The sequence below is a fragment of the Homo sapiens genome, chromosome 11 (assembly GCF_000001405.40).
Source record: "Homo sapiens chromosome 11, GRCh38.p14 Primary Assembly".
Classification (NCBI taxonomy): domain Eukaryota; kingdom Metazoa; phylum Chordata; class Mammalia; order Primates; family Hominidae; genus Homo; species Homo sapiens.
This window is the reverse complement of record NC_000011.10, coordinates 63,079,300-63,097,233: the sequence shown is the minus strand read 5'-3', so window position 1 is coordinate 63,097,233 and position 17,934 is coordinate 63,079,300. Positions and strand designations below refer to the sequence as shown.

The following is a 17,934-nucleotide window of genomic DNA, read 5'->3' as shown; positions in this document are numbered from 1 at the left end:
TTCTTGTAAATTTGTTTAAGTTCCTTGTAGATTCTGGATATTAGCCCTTTGACAGATGGATAGATGATAGATTGCAAAAGTTTTCTCCCATTCTGTAGGTTGCCTGCTCACTATGATGATAGTTTCTTTTGCTGTGCACAGCCTGAAATATTTACTTACTGGAGCTCTATGTAAAAGTCTCCCATATCCTGCACTAAATCATAAATGTAAGAAATGAATTAATATTATTTTTAAAAATAATGTTTCTACTCCTGTGCTAAATACATTTTATATTTACATGTAAGACTTCAGATAATTATTAGATAATCCCTATGAAAGAAACGCTAAATTCATTTTCTAAATGATAAGAAAACTAAGCACCTGAGATAAGTAATATATCAAATGGCAGGGCTGAAATTCCAAGCCAGACTTGTGCAAGCCTAAAACCATCTCCTTTCCAACAACTATATTTCACTTCTTCAAATATCTGGCTTAGGCAAAAATCATACTCCACCAACACATCCCCAACTTTTTTCCTTGCCTTCACTTCTGTGCACTCCACTCATGAGGGGACCCAGCAATCCCATTACTGGGTATATACCCAAAGGATTATAAATCATTCTACCATAAAGACACATGCACACATATTTTTATTGCAGCACTGTTCACAATAGCAAACACTTGACTGGCATATCTAGAGAATAATTGCTCAGAAGCTAATCATAAAGTGGACCCAGCTTTCAAGAAAGCTATTGACTTATAAAAATAAACACCTTCTCTCATAACAAAGGAAGGACAAGTATTTCATGCCCAGTGGATAAGAAAGAAACCTTTAACCTTTAAACAAATACCGTTTCATTTCCTCCGATTTATAATGCAAATATTTTTGTTAATGCTTTTACCTATCACTGGCTCAGTGTTTAACCTGGTTTTATTCCTATATAATTCCTCTGAGTTCCCATTTCTTCCTACACCTTTTGTAACACTTCACACATGAGATGAATTATTTAATGCTCATATTCCCCACTAGACAGAAATTTCCTTGAGGATAGTTTACAATATGTCTATCTTGTTCTCTAGTACTTACCACTATGCCTGACACATTATTGACATCTCACAAATGCTTGTTGTTATTTTTGTTGCTGAAGCTTGTGAGATCCACCATGAAGAAGGAGTTGGATGCAGTCCGAATTAAAACATCCATTTTTTCCCTGTTCCGTGCACCCAAATTGCGAATGAGAGTCTTCGGCCTGTGCTTTGTGAGGTAAGTTCCATTTGGTGATGATTCACTTTAAAATATTGGAGACACAAAACTGTTTCTTCTTTCAAAAGATTAGCAGCAGCATTTGGAGGACATTTAATACATAAGAGAAGAGAAAATCACATACAAATGTATGCCTCTAAGTGCCACATTTTTAGATAGCCTAATATTATGACAGGACAGTGGGACCTAACCACATAGTTAAAACTTATCAGCATCATATTCCAGCACAAAGTTTATCACTGGATATTATGGTGATAGTAAGTTTTACCATAAAACATAGTTTAATTTTTTGATTTTCTAATTTTTTATTCACTAAAGAAGTTACATCAACTGGCTGTCTAGATCAATTTTGCAAATCTATAAAACTATGTAACCACCACCCAGACAAGCTCATTTTCAGCATCCTGAATCATCTCTCATGTCTCTTTCACCCTAGTTAATACTTCTCCAAAACCACCAACTGTACTTACTGCTATCCCTGCAGATTACATTTGCTGGTTCTTGAATTTAATATTAATGGAATCATGCTATCTGTGTACCTTTAAATATGTGAAATTTATTCATTTTGTCTTGCATAACAGTAATTTGGTCTTTTAATTAATTGTAGGTCATTTTCTCTTATATGAATATTCCATAAGTTATCTGTCTATTCTGGTGTTCATGGGTTTTGGATTTTTTTCCACTTGTGGGCTATTATGAATTCCTGGGTTTAAGGCACATGTATATTTGGCTATAGTGAACTATCAATCAATATTCCAAACTGGATGTGCAAATGTGCACTTCAACTGGCTAGCCATATGTAGAAAGCTGAAACTGGATCCCTTACACCTTACACAAAAATTAATTCAAGATGGATTAAAGACTTAAATCTTAGACCTAAAACCATAAAAACCCTAGAAGAAAACCTAGGCATTACCATTCAGGACATACGCATGGGCAAGGACTTCATGTCTAAAACACCAAAAGCAATGGCAACAAAAGCCAAAATTGACAAATGGGATCTAATTAAACTAAAGAGCTTCTGCACAGCAAAAGAAACTACCAGCAGAGTGAACAGGCAACCTACACAATGGGAGAAAATTGTTGCAACCTACTCATCTGACAAAGGGCTAATATCCAGAATCTACAAAGAACTCAAACAAATTTACAAGAAAAAAACAAACAACCCCATTAAAAAGTGGGTGAAGGATATGAACAGACACTTCTCAAAAGAAGACATTTATGCAGCCAAAAGACACATGAAAAAATGCTCACCATCACTGGCCATCAGAGAAATGCAAATCAAAACCACAATGAGATACCATCTCACACCAGTTAGAATGGCGATCATTAAAAAGTCAGGAAACAACAGGTGCTGGAGAGGATGTGGAGAAACAGGAACACTTTCACACTGTTGGTGGGACTGTAAACTAGTTTAACCATTGTGGAAGTCAGTGTGGCGATTCCTCAGGGATCTAGAACTAGAAATACCAGTCGACCCAGCCATCCCATTACTGGGTATATACCCAAAGGATTATAAATCATGCTGCTATAATGACACATGCACATGTATGTTTATTGTGGCACTATTCACAATAGCAAAGACTTGGAACCAATCTAAATGTCTAACAATGATAGACTGGATTAAGAAAATGTGGCACATATACACCATAGAATACTATGCAGCCATAAAAAATGATGAGTCCATGTCCTTTGTAGGGACTGGAAACCATCATTCTCAGCAAACTATCGCAAGGACAAAAAACCAAACACTGCATGTTCTCACTCATAGGTGGGAATTGAACAATGAGAACACATGGACACAGGAAGGGGAACATCACACTCTGGGGACTGTTGTGGGGTCGGGGGAGGGGGGAGGGATAGCATTAGGAGATATACCTAATGCTAAATGATAAGCTAATGAGTGCAGCACACCAACATGGCACATGTATACATATGTAACAAACCTGCACATTGTGCATATGTACCCTAAAACTTAAAGTATAATAATAACAAATTTTTTTTTAAATACAGGAAAAAAAGAATTTTGGTTGTTCCATATTTTGCCAATATGACTTATTGTGAAATCTTTTAAGTTCATAATTCCAATGACTGCATATAGTATCACATTGTAAATTTAATTTGCATTTTATTTTTTTAACTTACATTTTAAGTTCAAGGGCACATGTGCAGGTTTGTAATATAGGTAAACTCGTGTCACAGGAGTTTGTGGTACAGATTATTTCATCACCCAGGTATTGAGCCTAATACCCATTAGTTATTTTTCCTGATCCTCTCCCTCCTCCCACCTTCCCCAATTAGGTAGGCCCCAGTGTCTATTGTTCCCCTCTATGTGATGATGTGTTCTCATCATTTAACTCCCACTTGTAAATAAAAATATGCAGGATTTTGTTTTCTGTTTCTGCATTAGTTTGCTAAGGATAATAACCTCCAGCCCCACCCATGTTCCTGCAAAGGACATCATTCCATTCCTTTTTATGGCTGCATAGTATTCCATGGTGTATATGTGCCACATTTTCTTTATCTAGTCTATTATTGATGGGTCTTTGGGTTGGTTCCAAGACTTTACTATTATAAATAGTGCTGCAATAAACATACGTGTGCATGTGTTTTTATGGTAGAATGATTTATAATACTTTGGGTATATACCCAGCAATGGGATTGCTGGGTCAAATAATATTTCTGGTTCTAGATCTTTGAGGAATCACCACACTACTCTCTTCTACAATGGTTGAACTAATTTACACTCCCACAAACAGTGTAAAAGCGTTTCTACTTCTCCACAGCCTCTCCAGCATCTGTTGTTTCCTGACTTTTTAATGAGTACCATTCTAACTGGCATGGGATGGTATCTCATTGTGGTTTTGACTTGCATTTCTCTAATGACCAGTGACGATGAGCTTTTTTTCATGTTTGTTGGCCACATAAATGTCTTCTTTTGAGAAATGTCTGCTCATGTCCTTTGCCCACTTTTTGATGGGGTTGTTTGTTTTCTTGTAAATTTGTTTAAGGTTCTTGTAGATTCTGGATATTAGCCTTTTGTCAGATAGGTAGCTTGCAAAAATTTTCTCCCATTCTGTAGGTTGCCTGTTCACTCTGATGATAGTTTATTTTGCTGTGCAGAAGCTCTTTAGTTTGATTAGATTCCATTTGTCAATTTTGACTTTTGTTTCAATTGCTTTTTGTGTTTTAGTCATGAAGTCTTTGCCCATGCCTGTGTCCTGAATGGCACTGCCTAGCTTTTCTTACAGAGTTTTTATGGTTTTGGGGTTTTACATTTAAATTTTTAATCCATCTTGAGTTAATTTTTATATAAGGTGTAGGAAAGGGGTCCAGTTTCTGTTTTCTGCATAAAGATAGCCAGTTTTCCCAGCACATTAATTAAATAGGGAATCTTTTCCCCATTGCTTGTTTATGTCAGGTTCGTCAAAGATCAGATGGTTGTAGATGTGCGGTGTTATGCTGTTTTGGTTACTGTAGCCTTGTAGTATAGTTTGAAGTCAGGTAGCATGATGCCTCCAGCTTTATTCTCTTTCCTTAGGATTTTCTTGGCTATACAGTGTCCTTTTTGATCCATTTGAAATTTGAACTAGTTTTTTCTAATTCTACAAAGAAAGTCACTAGTAGCTTCATGGGAATAGCATTGAATCTATAAATTACTTTGGGCAGTATGGTCATTTTCACTATATTGATTATTCCCATCCATGAGCATGGAATTTTTTTCCATTTGTTTGTGTCCTCTCTTATTCCTTGAGCACTGGTATGTAGTTCTTCTTGAAGAAGTCCCTCATGTCCCTTGTAAGTTGTATTCCTAGGCATTTTATTCCGTTTGTAGCAATTGTGAATGGGAGTTCACTCAGGATTTGGCTCTCTGCTGGTCTATTGTTGGTGTATAGGAATGCTTGTGACTTTTGCATATTGATTTTGTATCCTGAGACTTTGCTGAAGTTGCTTATCAGCTTAAGGAGTTTTGGGGCTAAGATGATGGGGTTTTCTAAATATACAATCATGTCATCTGCAAACAGAGACAATTTGACTTCCTCTCTATTTAAATACCTTTATTTCTTTCTCATGCATGATTGCCTTGGCCAGAACTTCCAATACTATGTTGAATAGGAGTGGTCAGAGAGGGTATCTTTGTCTTGTGCCGGTTTTCAAAGGAAATGCTTCCAGTTTTTGCCATTTAGAATGATATTGGCTATGGATTTGTCAAAAATAGCTCTTATTGTTTTGAGATATGTTCCATCAATACCTAGTTTATTGAGAGTTTTTAGCATGAAAGGGTGTTGAATTTTATCAAAGGCCTTTTCTGCATCTATTGAGATAATCATGTGGTTTTTGTCATTGGTTCTGTTTATGTGATGGATTATGTTTATTGTTTTGTGTATATTGAACTAGGCTTGCATCCCAGGGATAAAGCTGACTTGATCGTGGTGGATAAGCTTTTTGATGTGCTGCTGAATTCAGTTTGACAGTATTTTATTGAGGATTTTCTCATCGATGTTCACCAGGGATATTGGCCTGAAATTTTCTTTTTTGTTGTTGTGTCTCTGCCAGCTTTTGGTATCAGGAAGATGCTGGCCTCATAAAATTAGTTAGGGAGAAGTCCCTCTTCCTCTATTGTTTGGAATAGTTTCAGAAGGAATGGTACCAGCTCCTCTTTGTACCTCTGGTAGACTTCGGCTGTGAATCTCTCTGGTCCTTGCCCTTTTTTGGTTGGTAGGCTATTACTCACTGCCTCAATTTCAGAACATGTTATCGTCCTACTCAGGGATTTGACTTCTTCCTAAGTTCATCTTGGGAGGGTGTGTGTGTCCAGAAATTTATTCATTTCTTCTAGATTTTCTAGTTTATTTGCGTAGAGGTGTTTATAGTATTCTTTGATGGTAGTTTGTACTTCTGTGGGATCAGTGGTGATACCTCTTTTTCTCTCTTTTCTTCTTTATTAGTCTAGCTAGCGGTCCATCTATTTTGTTAATCTTTTCAAAAAATCAGCTCCTGGATTCATTGATTATTTGAAGGGTTTTTCATGTCTCTATCTCCTTCAACTCTACTATGATCTTATTTCTTAATTCTTGTCTTCTGCTAGCTTTTGAATTTGTTTGCTCTTGCATCTCTAGTTCTTTTAATTGTGATATTAGAATGTCAGTTTTAGATCTTTCCAGCTTTCTGTGGTAGGCATTCAGGGCTACAAAATTTCTTTCTTAACACTGCTTTACCTGTGTCCCAGAGATTCTGGTACTTGGGGTCTTTGTTCTCATTGGTTTCAAATAACTTCTTTTTTTTTTAAGATAGCTATTATTTATTTATTTATTTATTTATTTATTGTACTTTAAGTTCTGGGGCAAAGAACTTCATTTCTGCCTTAATTTCATTATTTACCCAGTAGTCATTCAGGCACAGGTTGTTCAATTTCCACGTAGTTGTGTGGTTTTGAGTGAGTTTCTTAATCCTGAGTTCTAATTTGATTGCACTGTGGTCTGAGAGACTGTTATGATTTCCGTTCTTTTGCATTTGCTGAGGAATGTTTTACTTCCAATTATGTGGTCAATTTTAGAATACATGCTGTGTGGCACTAAGAATGTATATTCTCTTGATTTGGGGTGGAGAGTTCTGTAGATGTCTATTAGGTCTGCTTGGTTCAGAGCTGAGTTCAAGTCCTGAATACCCTTGTTAATTCTCTGTCTTGTTGCTCTGTCTAATATTGACAGTGGGGTGTTAAAGTCTCCCACTATTATTGTGTGGGAGTCTAAGCCTCTTTGTAGGTCTCTAAGAACTTGTTTTATGAATCTGGGTATTCCTCCATTGGGTGCATATATATTTAGGATAGTTAGCTCTTCTTGTCGCATTGATCCCTTTACCATTATGTAATGCCATTCTTTGTCTTTTTTTTTTTTTTTTTTTTTTTTTGAGACAGAGTCTCGTTCTGTCGTCCAGGCTGGAGTGCAGTGGCCCGATCTCAGCTCTCTGCAAGCTCTGCCTCCTGGGTTCACGCCATTCTCCTGCCTCAGCCTCCCGAGTAGCTGGGACGACAGGCGCCCACCACCACGCCTGGCTAATTTTTTGTATTTTTAGTAGAGACGGGGTTTCACCGTGTTAGCCAGGATGGTCTCGACCTCCTGACCTTGTGATCCACCCGCCTCGGCCTCCCAAAGTGCTGGGATTACAGACGTGAGCCACCGCGGCCGGCCTTGTTCTTTGTCTTTTTTAATCTTCGTTGGCTTAAAGTCTGTTTTATCAGAGACTAAGATTGCAACTCCTGCTTTTTTTGCTTGCCATTTTCTTGATAAATCTTCCTCCATCCCTTTATTTTGAGCCTATGTGTATCTTTGCACATTAGATGAGTCTTGACTCTTTATCCAGTTTGTCATTCTGTGTCTTTTAATTGAGGCATTTAGCCCATTTACATTTAAGGTTAATATTGTTATGTGTGAATTTGATCCTATCATCATGATGCTAGCTGGTTATTTTGCCCATTAGTTGATGCGCTTTCTTCATAGTGTTATTGCTCTGTATATTTTGCTGTGTTTCAGCAGTGGCTGGTACCAGTATTTCCTTTCCATATTTAGTGCTTCCTTCAGGTGCTCTCATAAGGCAGGCCTGGTGGTGACAAAATCCCTTAGTATTTGCTTGTCTGGAAAGGGTTTTGTTTTTCCTTCACATGAAACTTAATTTGGTTGGATATCAAATTCTGGGTTGAAAATTCTTTTCTTTAAGAATGTTGAATATTGGCCCCCACTCTCTTCTGGCTTGTAGGGTTTCTGCAGAGTGATCCACTTTTAGTCTGATGGGGTTCCCTTTGTAGGTAACCTGACCTTTCTGGCTGCCCTTAACATTTTTTCCTTTGTTTCAATCTTGGAGAATCTGACAATTATGTGTCTTGGGGTTTGCTCTTCTTGAGGAGTATCTTAGTGTTGTTCTCTGTATTTCCTGAATTTGAATGTTGGCCTGTCTTGCTAGGTTGGGGAAGTTCTCCTGGATAATATCCTGAAGTGTGTTTTCCAGTTTGGTTCATTCTGCCCATCATTTTCAGGGACACCAATTTATCGTAGGTTGTGTCTTTTCATAGTCTCATGTTTCTTGGAGGCTTTGTTCATTCCTTTTCATTCTTTTTTCTCTAATCTTTTCTTCACACGTTATTTCAGGAACTTGATCTTCATTCTCTGATATCCTTTATTCTGCTTGATCAATTTGGCTATAATATTTGTATGTACTTCATGAAGTTCTCATGCTGTGATTTTCAGCTCCATCAGGTAATTTATGTTTTTCTCTAAACTGGTCATTCTAGTTAGCAGTTCCTGCAACCTTTTATCAAGGTTCTTATCTTCCTTGCCTTGGGTTAGAATATGCTCCTTTAGCTCAGAGGAGTTATTACCCACCTTCTGAAGTCTACTTCTGTCAATTCATCAGTCTCATTCTCTGCCCAGTTTTGTTCCCTTGCTGGAGAGGAGTTGGGATCATTGGAGAGAAGAGGCATTCTGGTTTTTGCAATTTTCAGCATTTTTGCACTGATTTTTCCTCAACTTCTTGGATTTATCTACCTTTGATTGTTGAGGCTGATGACCTTTAGGTGGGGTTTTTGTGTGGAGTCCTTTATGTTGATGTTGATGTTGATGTTGTAGCTTTCTGTTTGTTACTTTTCCTTCTAACAGTCAGGTCCCTCTTTGGCAGGTCTGCTGCAGTTTGTTTGAGGTCCACTCCAGACCCTTTTCACCTGGGTATCACCAGTGGAGGTTGCAGAACAGCAAAGATTGCTGCCTGCTTCTTCCTCTGGAAGCTTCATCCCAGAGGGGCACCAGCCTGATGCCAACTGGAGCTCTCCTGTATGAGGTGTCTGTTGACCCCGTTGGGAGGTTTCTCCCTGTCAGGAGGCGTGGGGGTCAGGGACCCACTTGAGGAGGCAATCTGTCCCTTAGCAGAGCTGGTGCACTCTATTGGGAGAATCACTCTTGTCAGGATCAGCTGTGCTCTTCAGAGCTGGCAGGCAGGAATGACTAAATTTGCTGAAGCTGCGCCCACAGCCACTCCTTCCCCCAGGTGTTCTCTTCCAGGGAAATGAGGATTTTGTCTGTAAACCTCTTACTGGGGCTGTTGCCTTTCCTTCAGAGATGCTTTGCCCGGTGAGGAGAAATCTAGAGAAGCAGTCTTGCCACAGCCACTTTACCATGCCCAGCCCAGACCTCCCATCCTCCTTAGCACTGTCAGGGGAAAACTGCCTACTAAAGCCTCAGGAATGGCGCACACCCCTCCCCCCACCAAGCTCCATCGTCCCAGGCAGGCTTCAGACTACTGCGCTGGCAGCAAGAATTTCAAGCCAGTGGTTCTTAGCTTGCTGGGCTCCATGGGAGTGGGACTCACTGAGCGAGACCACCTGGCTCCATGGCCTCAGCCCCTTTTCCAGGGGAGGGGAGTAAATGGTTCTGTCTTGCTAAGGTTCCAGGCACCACTGGAATATGAAAAAATACTGCTGCAGCTAGCCCAGTGTTTGCCCAAAGAGCCACCTAGTTTTGTGCTTGAAGCCCAGGGCCCTGGTGGTATAGGCACACGAGGGAATCTCCTGATCTGCAGATTGCAAAAACTGTAGGAAAAGTGTAGTAACCCGGCCATGTAGCACAGTCCCTCATGGCTTCCCTTGGTTCAGGGAGGGAAGTCCCTGGCTCCTTGCACTTCCCGGGTGAGCTGACGCCCCACCCTGCTTCTGCCTGCCCTCTGTGGGTTGCAGCCACTGCCTAACCAGTCCCAATGAGATGAACTGGGTGCCTCAGTTGAAAATGCGGAGATCACCCACCATCTGCATGGGTCTTGCTGGGAGCTGCAGACCAGAGCTGTTCCCACTTGGCCATCTTGGCCCCTCCCTGATTTCTACTCTTATTTTTATTATTTCTTTGCTTCTACTTACTTGGGTTTCTCTCTCTCTCTCTCTCTCTCCCTCTGTGTGTGTGTGTGTGTGTGTGTGTGTGTGTGTGCGCCCTCCAGGCAGAAAAGCTTAATTCATTTTTTTTGCAAACTTTCATTTTTCCTAATAAATGCACAGTACTACAAAGGAACTATAAAGTTCCCTGTTAGCATTGCCAAACCTACATCCCATATTTTTTTAACAAATTGTATTGTGTATGTTTAAGGTATACACTATGATGTTATGAGAGATGTGTATAGTAAAATTATTATAGTGAGACAAATTAGCATATTCATAATCTCACATAGTTACTCATTTCCATATATTTTGAGATATTGTATTTTTATTCTAAATTAGTCTAAATTTCTAATTCATGATTTGGATCCTCTTTGACCCAATGGTTTTGGATAAATGTTGTGCTTAGTTTCCAAATAGCTGTGGACCTTCAAGTTATTGTCTATTTTGGTAAAAATTCAATATAAAATTTTTTAAGTTTTATTTTAGGCTCAAGGGTACATGAGCAGGCTTGTTATATAGGTAAACTCATTTCACAGAGGTTTGTTGTACAGATTATTTTTGTTTTTCTCTTCTCTGTGTCCATATGTACTCAATATTTAGCTCCCACTCATAAGTGAGAACATGTGGTATTTGATTTTCTGTTTCTGTGTTAGTTCAGTTAGGATAATGGCCTCTAGCTATATCTATGTTGATGCAAAGGACAGGATCTTGTTCCTCTTTATGGCTGCATAGTATTCCATGGTGTATGTGTACCACATTTCCTTTATCCAGTCTACCATTGATGGGCATTTAGGTTGATTCTAGGTCTTTACTATTATGAATAAGCTGTGATGAACACAGACATACATGCATCTTTATAGTAGAATGATTTATATTCCTTTGGGTGTATATCCAATAATGGGATTGCTGGGTCAAATGGTAATTCTGTTTTAAATTCCTTGAGGAATCACCATACTGCTTTCCACGAATGGCTGAACTAATTTACATTCCCACCAGCAGTGTATAAGCATTCTCTTATCTCTCCATCCTCACCGGTATCTGTTATTTTTTGACCATTTAGTAATAGCCATTCTGACTGGTGTGAGATTGGATCTCCTTGTAAAGAAGTTTCTATATCATGGATTAGGAGAGTGACAACCAGACTGCTTTCAGGCACTAAAGACTAGAGTCCCTGATAGTGCTAATATGATAGCCAGCAAAAGAAAATATGTGCATTCTGCTCATATATGTTTGCAGGGAGAATAATCATTGGTTTTGGCAGGATTATGATAATTATTTTGTTATTATCATTACCATCATCGTCATCATTGTCACCATTCATCGTCATGACCTCCTGATGTCTATGGAAAATATAAAATGTGCGAAGGCACTGGGCTATGTGTTAAGGTTGCAGAGGCATTAAGATCTAAACTCTGCATTCAAGGAACTTAAATAGAATATTTGCTTTTTATTTCTTTATTTGTTCATCTGTTTGTATTTTCTTTTCCTCTCCATAAATTATCATTTCAGTCAAAAAATGGAACTATGCAAATTGATTTCATGTCTCAGACGAAAACCTGCTGTCAAAGCAAATTACAAAATTAAGGACACCCTTTAATTAGCCTAATTCTGTTTATATTTTTTAATGTACTATTGATTATTTAAGGCATACATGATAGTAAACTTGTAACTATAATTTAAAAACACCTCATTACCCACATTAAGAAAGACAATCAGACCAAGATAATGGAGGCCTTCTGTATAAACCTCCATGGGCATATTCCCAACCTTTTTTTCCAGGTTTTTTGTTTTATCATCCCCAAGACTTTCATTATACGTTGCTACATTGGTATTTATCTCTAAGTAATATGCGGTATTCTTTCATAATTATAAAATTTATAGAAATTTTATATCTATGAATTTTTCTAAAATGTTAATTTTTTCCTCAAATTTTATCTGCAAGTTTTATCAAAATAATTCATGTCGAATAATGAGAAAGCACAGGGCCTAATCATGAAAACAGAAAATCATCATCTTCACCTAATCCCTTCTTAGCTTTCTCTTAAACCTGCTCTGTGGTTCTTTCCCTATCCCTGATGAAATCTCTGACAAGCCACATAACACATACTCTCCTTCTCAGTAATAAAAAAAAAAAAAAATCCCATCCTCTCACTCACAAGAATAGCCTCATCTTAGTAATACATATATTTCAGCCACATATGAAAATTAAACCTCAGATATTCATTCAGAGTTAGAGAACCTGTTTCTGCAGTTCAAGCTGACTTTGGTGGTTGATATGGTAAGAAGGGTAAGAAGATATTGTTGACTTTTTCTCTACGTAAATGTGTTATGCTTCCTCTCCACTTGTATAATCTGTGAGCCGGGTTTCTACACTCTACATACCTAGAGAGGGGGAAAGAAAGCAAAGGTCGGGCATTGGTAACTGTTGGATGCTGGGCATGGTGGATGATCAAATCAGACTCCTTTCCCTGGGTGCCTTTATGTAAATTCCTTGGAGGCCTCCACTGTAACCACTTGGCATTCACTCCATTTCTTGTGATGCAAGAAATGCATTTTCCTCTGGCTCCTGCATACATTTTCTCTCTAGGCCCTGCTAATCAATTTGGCTTTGCATTGCCTTATTGCTGGTCGCCTTCCCCACCCCAACACTCTTTTCTCCTTTCCTCTTTCCACAGAGGGATTAAAATGATTCCATACAAGCTCTCTCTTTCAGAGCCTATACAACCTGCGAGCAAATACAGGCATCCCTACCTTATTTTACTGGAAGTATATTTACCTGCCAGCCCCTTTATCTCAATTCTGATGATTTAATAACCCATTGCTTGTAGCTCTTAGACTGCTTAGAAATGTCAGGCCACTGCACTCAAGTCCAGGAAACACATGGAAAGCTCTTGCCTACAGTGCCCTTGCAGCCTCACTAAGGTAAGGTAAAGAAGGTTAGATATTCATTCAGAGTTAGAGATTCTCTGTTTCTGTAGTTCAAGCTGACCTTGGTGGTTGATATGGTAAGAAGGGTAAAAAGATATTGTTGACCTTTTCTCTATGTAAATGTGTTATGATTCCTCTCCACTTGTATAATCTGTGGGCCAGATTATACAAGTAAGTATTACCCCCATTCTCCAGGGATTACTAAGACTAAGGTAAAGAAGGTCTCTGAACGGGAGCAGAGAAGTTTGACTCACACAATGCTGAACTGCTGCAAAGAAACTATTCCCCTAATTTCCATCATCTAACCCTACCCATGTCCAATCATTTATATCATCCAGTTGACTGATGAATTCAGATTTCACATTACTTTTTCTACATGGGTAGGTTTTTAACTTTCATTGATAATATGTATGTTTGCTATCTCTTTTCTTCAGGACCCAGTAAAAATTATGACAATGAAGAGCCCATTTTAACATCATGTTCCACAATTATTTTATGTTATTTTAAGACCATTGTCTGAAAAGGAAATAGTCTATAAAACAGAATGATCCCTTTTTTAAAAGGAAAAACACCATTTGCCAATTGGGTCAATATTATAATCATTTGTAGGACTTACCTTCAAAATCTCAGAAAATGTTTCCTAGGCTTTAAATCTTATTGAATATGTCTTTGTCCTTTTTATTCACTTCAGATTCGCAATCACTGTACCCTTTTATGGCCTGATACTCAACTTGCAGCACTTAGGGAGCAATGTCTCCCTGTTCCAGATTCTCTGTGGAGCTGTCACATTCACAGCCAGATGTGTTTCCCTTTTGACACTGAATCATATGGGTCGTCGAATAAGCCAGATATTGTTCACGTTCCCGGTGGGACTTTTCATTCTGGTCAACACCTTTTTGCCCCAAGGTGAGAGAGACAGGAGTTTCAGGAAAGAAAGTAGTTACCCCCATTCTCCAGGGATTACATTGGTCTTTTATGCCTGGTGCCAAAAGAACAGCATTGCCCTTGACAGCCAAAAGATTCCCTGAAGTTAATATGAGGGTTTGGAACTGATTCTGACAATATGTTGTTTTCAGCACTTGGGCTCTTACTCAATCAATGTCAGCCGTGATGGTTCAGACACACGGTTGTCTTCATCACAGCCAAGATGAATCTGGACATGGGCTCCAATTACACCTAATGGTTTCTTTAGAAAAGTAACTAAGCACATGCTTTTTGGCTAATCACCCTTTTATAGCTATTGTGGAGGGGCTAGGCCTTGCAACTGTATGCCAAAGTGGGCACACAATGCCCTCACTGCCTCTGTCTAGGACACTTTCTAATTTTTGAGGTCTCTCTAACTTGTCCATATCCTCTTCCCTGTATATTCACTTTTGAGTTCCCTATTATCTCATATAAATGCAACACTTTTTTAGAAAAGGCTTCTTGACTTTGCTGAAATAAAAATTCCTTGTCTTCAACCATAAATGAAGTGTACAGTTGGAACAAGAAAAAGTCTCATCTTAATATCTCTTTATCTGTTTTATAATCTACCCCTAAACAAGGAACAGATTAAGAAGCTGACCCAGCCTCTCTTAAAATCCACTTTCCTAAGTTAAATTAATAGAATGACCTTCTGTAATGATTATGGGAACATTAGTGGTCACTATATTCCACTCATCTCCCAGAGCAGGAACATATTTTGCAGGATTCCCAGACTGGTGGGCTCCATGCCTCCTGCTGGTGTAAGTTTTCTGCCTTATAGGAGAGCCTTCTCCACTGTTTTAAAATCCTATTTTGATATTTTTATTGATGAAAAAGTACCTTTTTGAATTTTCAGTGTCAATGGTTCCCAGTGTGATATTATTTATTTCCAAATAGGAGTTAGGTTTTATAATGTTAGGTTTTACAATCCTGAATTATTCAGAGCTTATGTCTCTCCACACTGTCCACTCCCAAATAAACCCAGTCCTTTTCTTACTATATGGTAGAATATCTGTCCCATATCTAAAATTGTTCCCACATTCTTAGCTCTAAACTGCTCAAGACATGGCTCACAAACTCCTCAGTTATTATCTATATATAGTTCTATGCCCCACTGGAGGTGCACAGAAAATATTACATAGAAAAAATTAAAATGAATATTGTTCTAATAGAACAAATATAGTTCTGTGCCCCCACTGGAAGTACACAGAAAATATTACACAGAATAAATAAAACAAATATTTCCTGTTGGTCCCTACCCCCACCTTAATTGGCAATACTCAAATGTGCAGAAAGAGTTGAAGATTGAGATTGAGATCCTTTATTCAATGTTTAAGCCCTACCATTTTACAGTCTATATTTCTCAGCCTCGCAACCATTCCCCAATCTCTGGCATGTTGCAGTTTGTCTACCACATATTTCACACTTGCAAATTCCTCCATTAGAATCTTTTTACAATTATTTGGGGGTTGAAAAGTTTCTTCAGGCAAGATTTCCTGATTCTCACTGTTCTCTCTAGAAATGCAGATCCTGCGTGTGGTTTTAGCAACTTTGGGAATTGGTAGTGTTTCTGCTGCTAGCAACAGTGCTTCTGTCCACCACAACGAGCTCGTCCCCACCATATTGAGGTACAAGAGCTAAAGACCATCTGGTTTCAAAACACAAATTTCTGAATTTATTGATATTCATTGTGAATGAAAGACTGACACTGTTTAGGTGCCAGATGAATTAACTGTAATAGAAATGAACAGAGTAACTGAGAGCCATATATGTGCTATTATTATCAAATTATCAAAGCTGCGGGTTATTGCTACAGGTTAATTAATGCTATGGGTATCTCTATTTTAGTAATTATGAAACTAAGGTTAAGAGCAGTTACCAACATTATACTATCAAATAGGTAGAAACCAACAGAGGTAAATGTCACAATTAAGGGCTTGCTGTCAAAGCCCATGTGTTTAGTAACTCTGTTGTACTGGTCCCCATAAAGAAATAATGATGATAAAGAGCTGACATGTACAGATTCATACAAGATTTTTTGTATTGTTATTTGCACTCTAAGGTCAACAGTTGCAGGAATCAATGCAGTGTCCGGTAGGACTGGGGCAGCACTGGCTCCTCTGTTGATGACCTTAATGGCGTATTCTCCCCACCTACCCTGGATTTCCTATGGAGTCTTCCCCATCCTTGCTGTCCCTGTTATCCTCCTCCTTCCAGAAACCAGGGATCTACCTCTTCCTAACACCATCCAGGATGTGGAAAATGAGTGAGTAAACCCTCTAGCTGTCACTTGAGTGGGGAGTGGCTATGTGCTGTAGCTGTTTAATGAGAAAGGTCAACGACCATTTGGGGCCCTCTGTCCTTCATGTAGGCTCAGACCTAGGACTTTTCTATTTGTCACCATGTCCTTTAGTTCAGTAGCAGCCTACCCTATCCACAATGGAGTCAGACTCTTGAGGCCCTCTATGTCACACAGACCATTTCACACCAGAAGGTTCAGTGGTGAAAAGATCCAAATTAGCCTATTATGAGTGGCACATACTTTCTGCCCTTGTGGGAAACACACACTCCTGTTGTTTTCTCACAAATCTGCTAAGACTCAAATGCCTCATTCTCATCCCCTGGTTTTATCACACATTGGCTCAATGAGTGCCTGTTATGTGGTGGGAAAGGGAATGAGATTGCCTCATACCTAATTATTGCTTCAGTCAAAGAATCATGGGACTACAGCATAGAGCAAAATCTCCTTTGCAAAAATAACGATGTATCTGAAGGAAATGGATCTTGTTGGGATGCCTCTGAGATTTAGGCAAATTTGTTGCCATGGGCAACAGAAATTTTGAGGAGACAAAATTAAGAAAAGAAAGCAGGATTTTAAATGATGAAAAATAAGACAATAGCTTTAAAATTTTCAATTCTCGCTTTGATTTACTAAAGATGTCATTGGTCTGAGATCCAAAGAGACAATGGTGAGAGTATCAATATTCAACACTGCCTTCCCAGGAATGCCCAGGTATCAGGGCCTTTTCCAACACAATAGTATCAATATCTAGAGAATCTTGGATTACAATGCTGGTGGGTAGAGGGCAGCTTGTCCTCAGGCACACAGTATATATATGCTTAATCTATATCTTATTTATTTTTTGTTTCTTAATCTTGTTTTTGTTTGCATTTCTATTTCTCAGCAGAAAAGATTCAAGAAACATAAAGCAGGAAGATACTTGCATGAAAGTAACACAGTTTTAAGAGATTCCCAAGACCTGATCCAAAGAAGAGCAAAATGGGCAGGGGGAATCAAGATTATGCCTTTATATCTGCAAAACTAGCCAAAAATATAATGTGCAGACAGATGCCATTTATAATTATGGTACTACATGTATCAGTAATTCCAAAATACCTTATAAGTTTAAGTGATTCCATGAAATAATGATTTGCTTTTGGGAAGAAGTTGCACAACTAGTTTCAAATTCATCTGAAAATCACTAACAGCCAAGATGATTCAGGAAAAAGAGCATCATGGAGTGACGATCAGGCTGACTCATATACGGTAAAGCACATGCTGGACTTTTTATAAAACTACAATCAACAAAACAGTAATAGCAAATGCATTATAATTTGTTTGCATTAACACACCGTAATGACTCCAGAAACATGCCCAAGTATACAGAAAGAGTCTTCAAAAAATTCATGAAAATGCATATTATGAGTAAACTATGCATAGAGTTCAAATTTTTGTGCCAAAATAAATCTGTACTAATTTTTTATAACATGGCTGAACAGGATCTATTTTGAAGCACTAAGAAGGATAAGATGTTTGTGTGAAAAAAGCTGTTATCCAAGGAACACAAATTCTGCTGAAATAGAAGCAAGAACAAACATCAAATTT

At 38.5% G+C, this 17,934-nt stretch overlaps 1 protein-coding gene across 1 annotated transcript in view; it reads left to right on the top strand.

Annotated features, from left to right (window-relative positions):
• The window catches only part of SLC22A24 (solute carrier family 22 member 24), a 64,282-nt gene extending 46,988 nt beyond the window's left edge, over positions 1 to 17,294 (top strand). Inside the window, exons 6-10 of the mRNA NM_001136506.2 lie at positions 1,128 to 1,243; positions 13,777 to 13,991; positions 15,568 to 15,676; positions 16,111 to 16,314; positions 17,234 to 17,294. Of these exons, the coding sequence (NP_001129978.2) occupies positions 1,128 to 1,243; positions 13,777 to 13,991; positions 15,568 to 15,676; positions 16,111 to 16,314; positions 17,234 to 17,294 (705 nt within the window). The remainder of the gene's footprint in view (positions 1 to 1,127; positions 1,244 to 13,776; positions 13,992 to 15,567; positions 15,677 to 16,110; positions 16,315 to 17,233) is intronic.
• Positions 17,295 to 17,934: the final 640 nt, after the last annotated feature.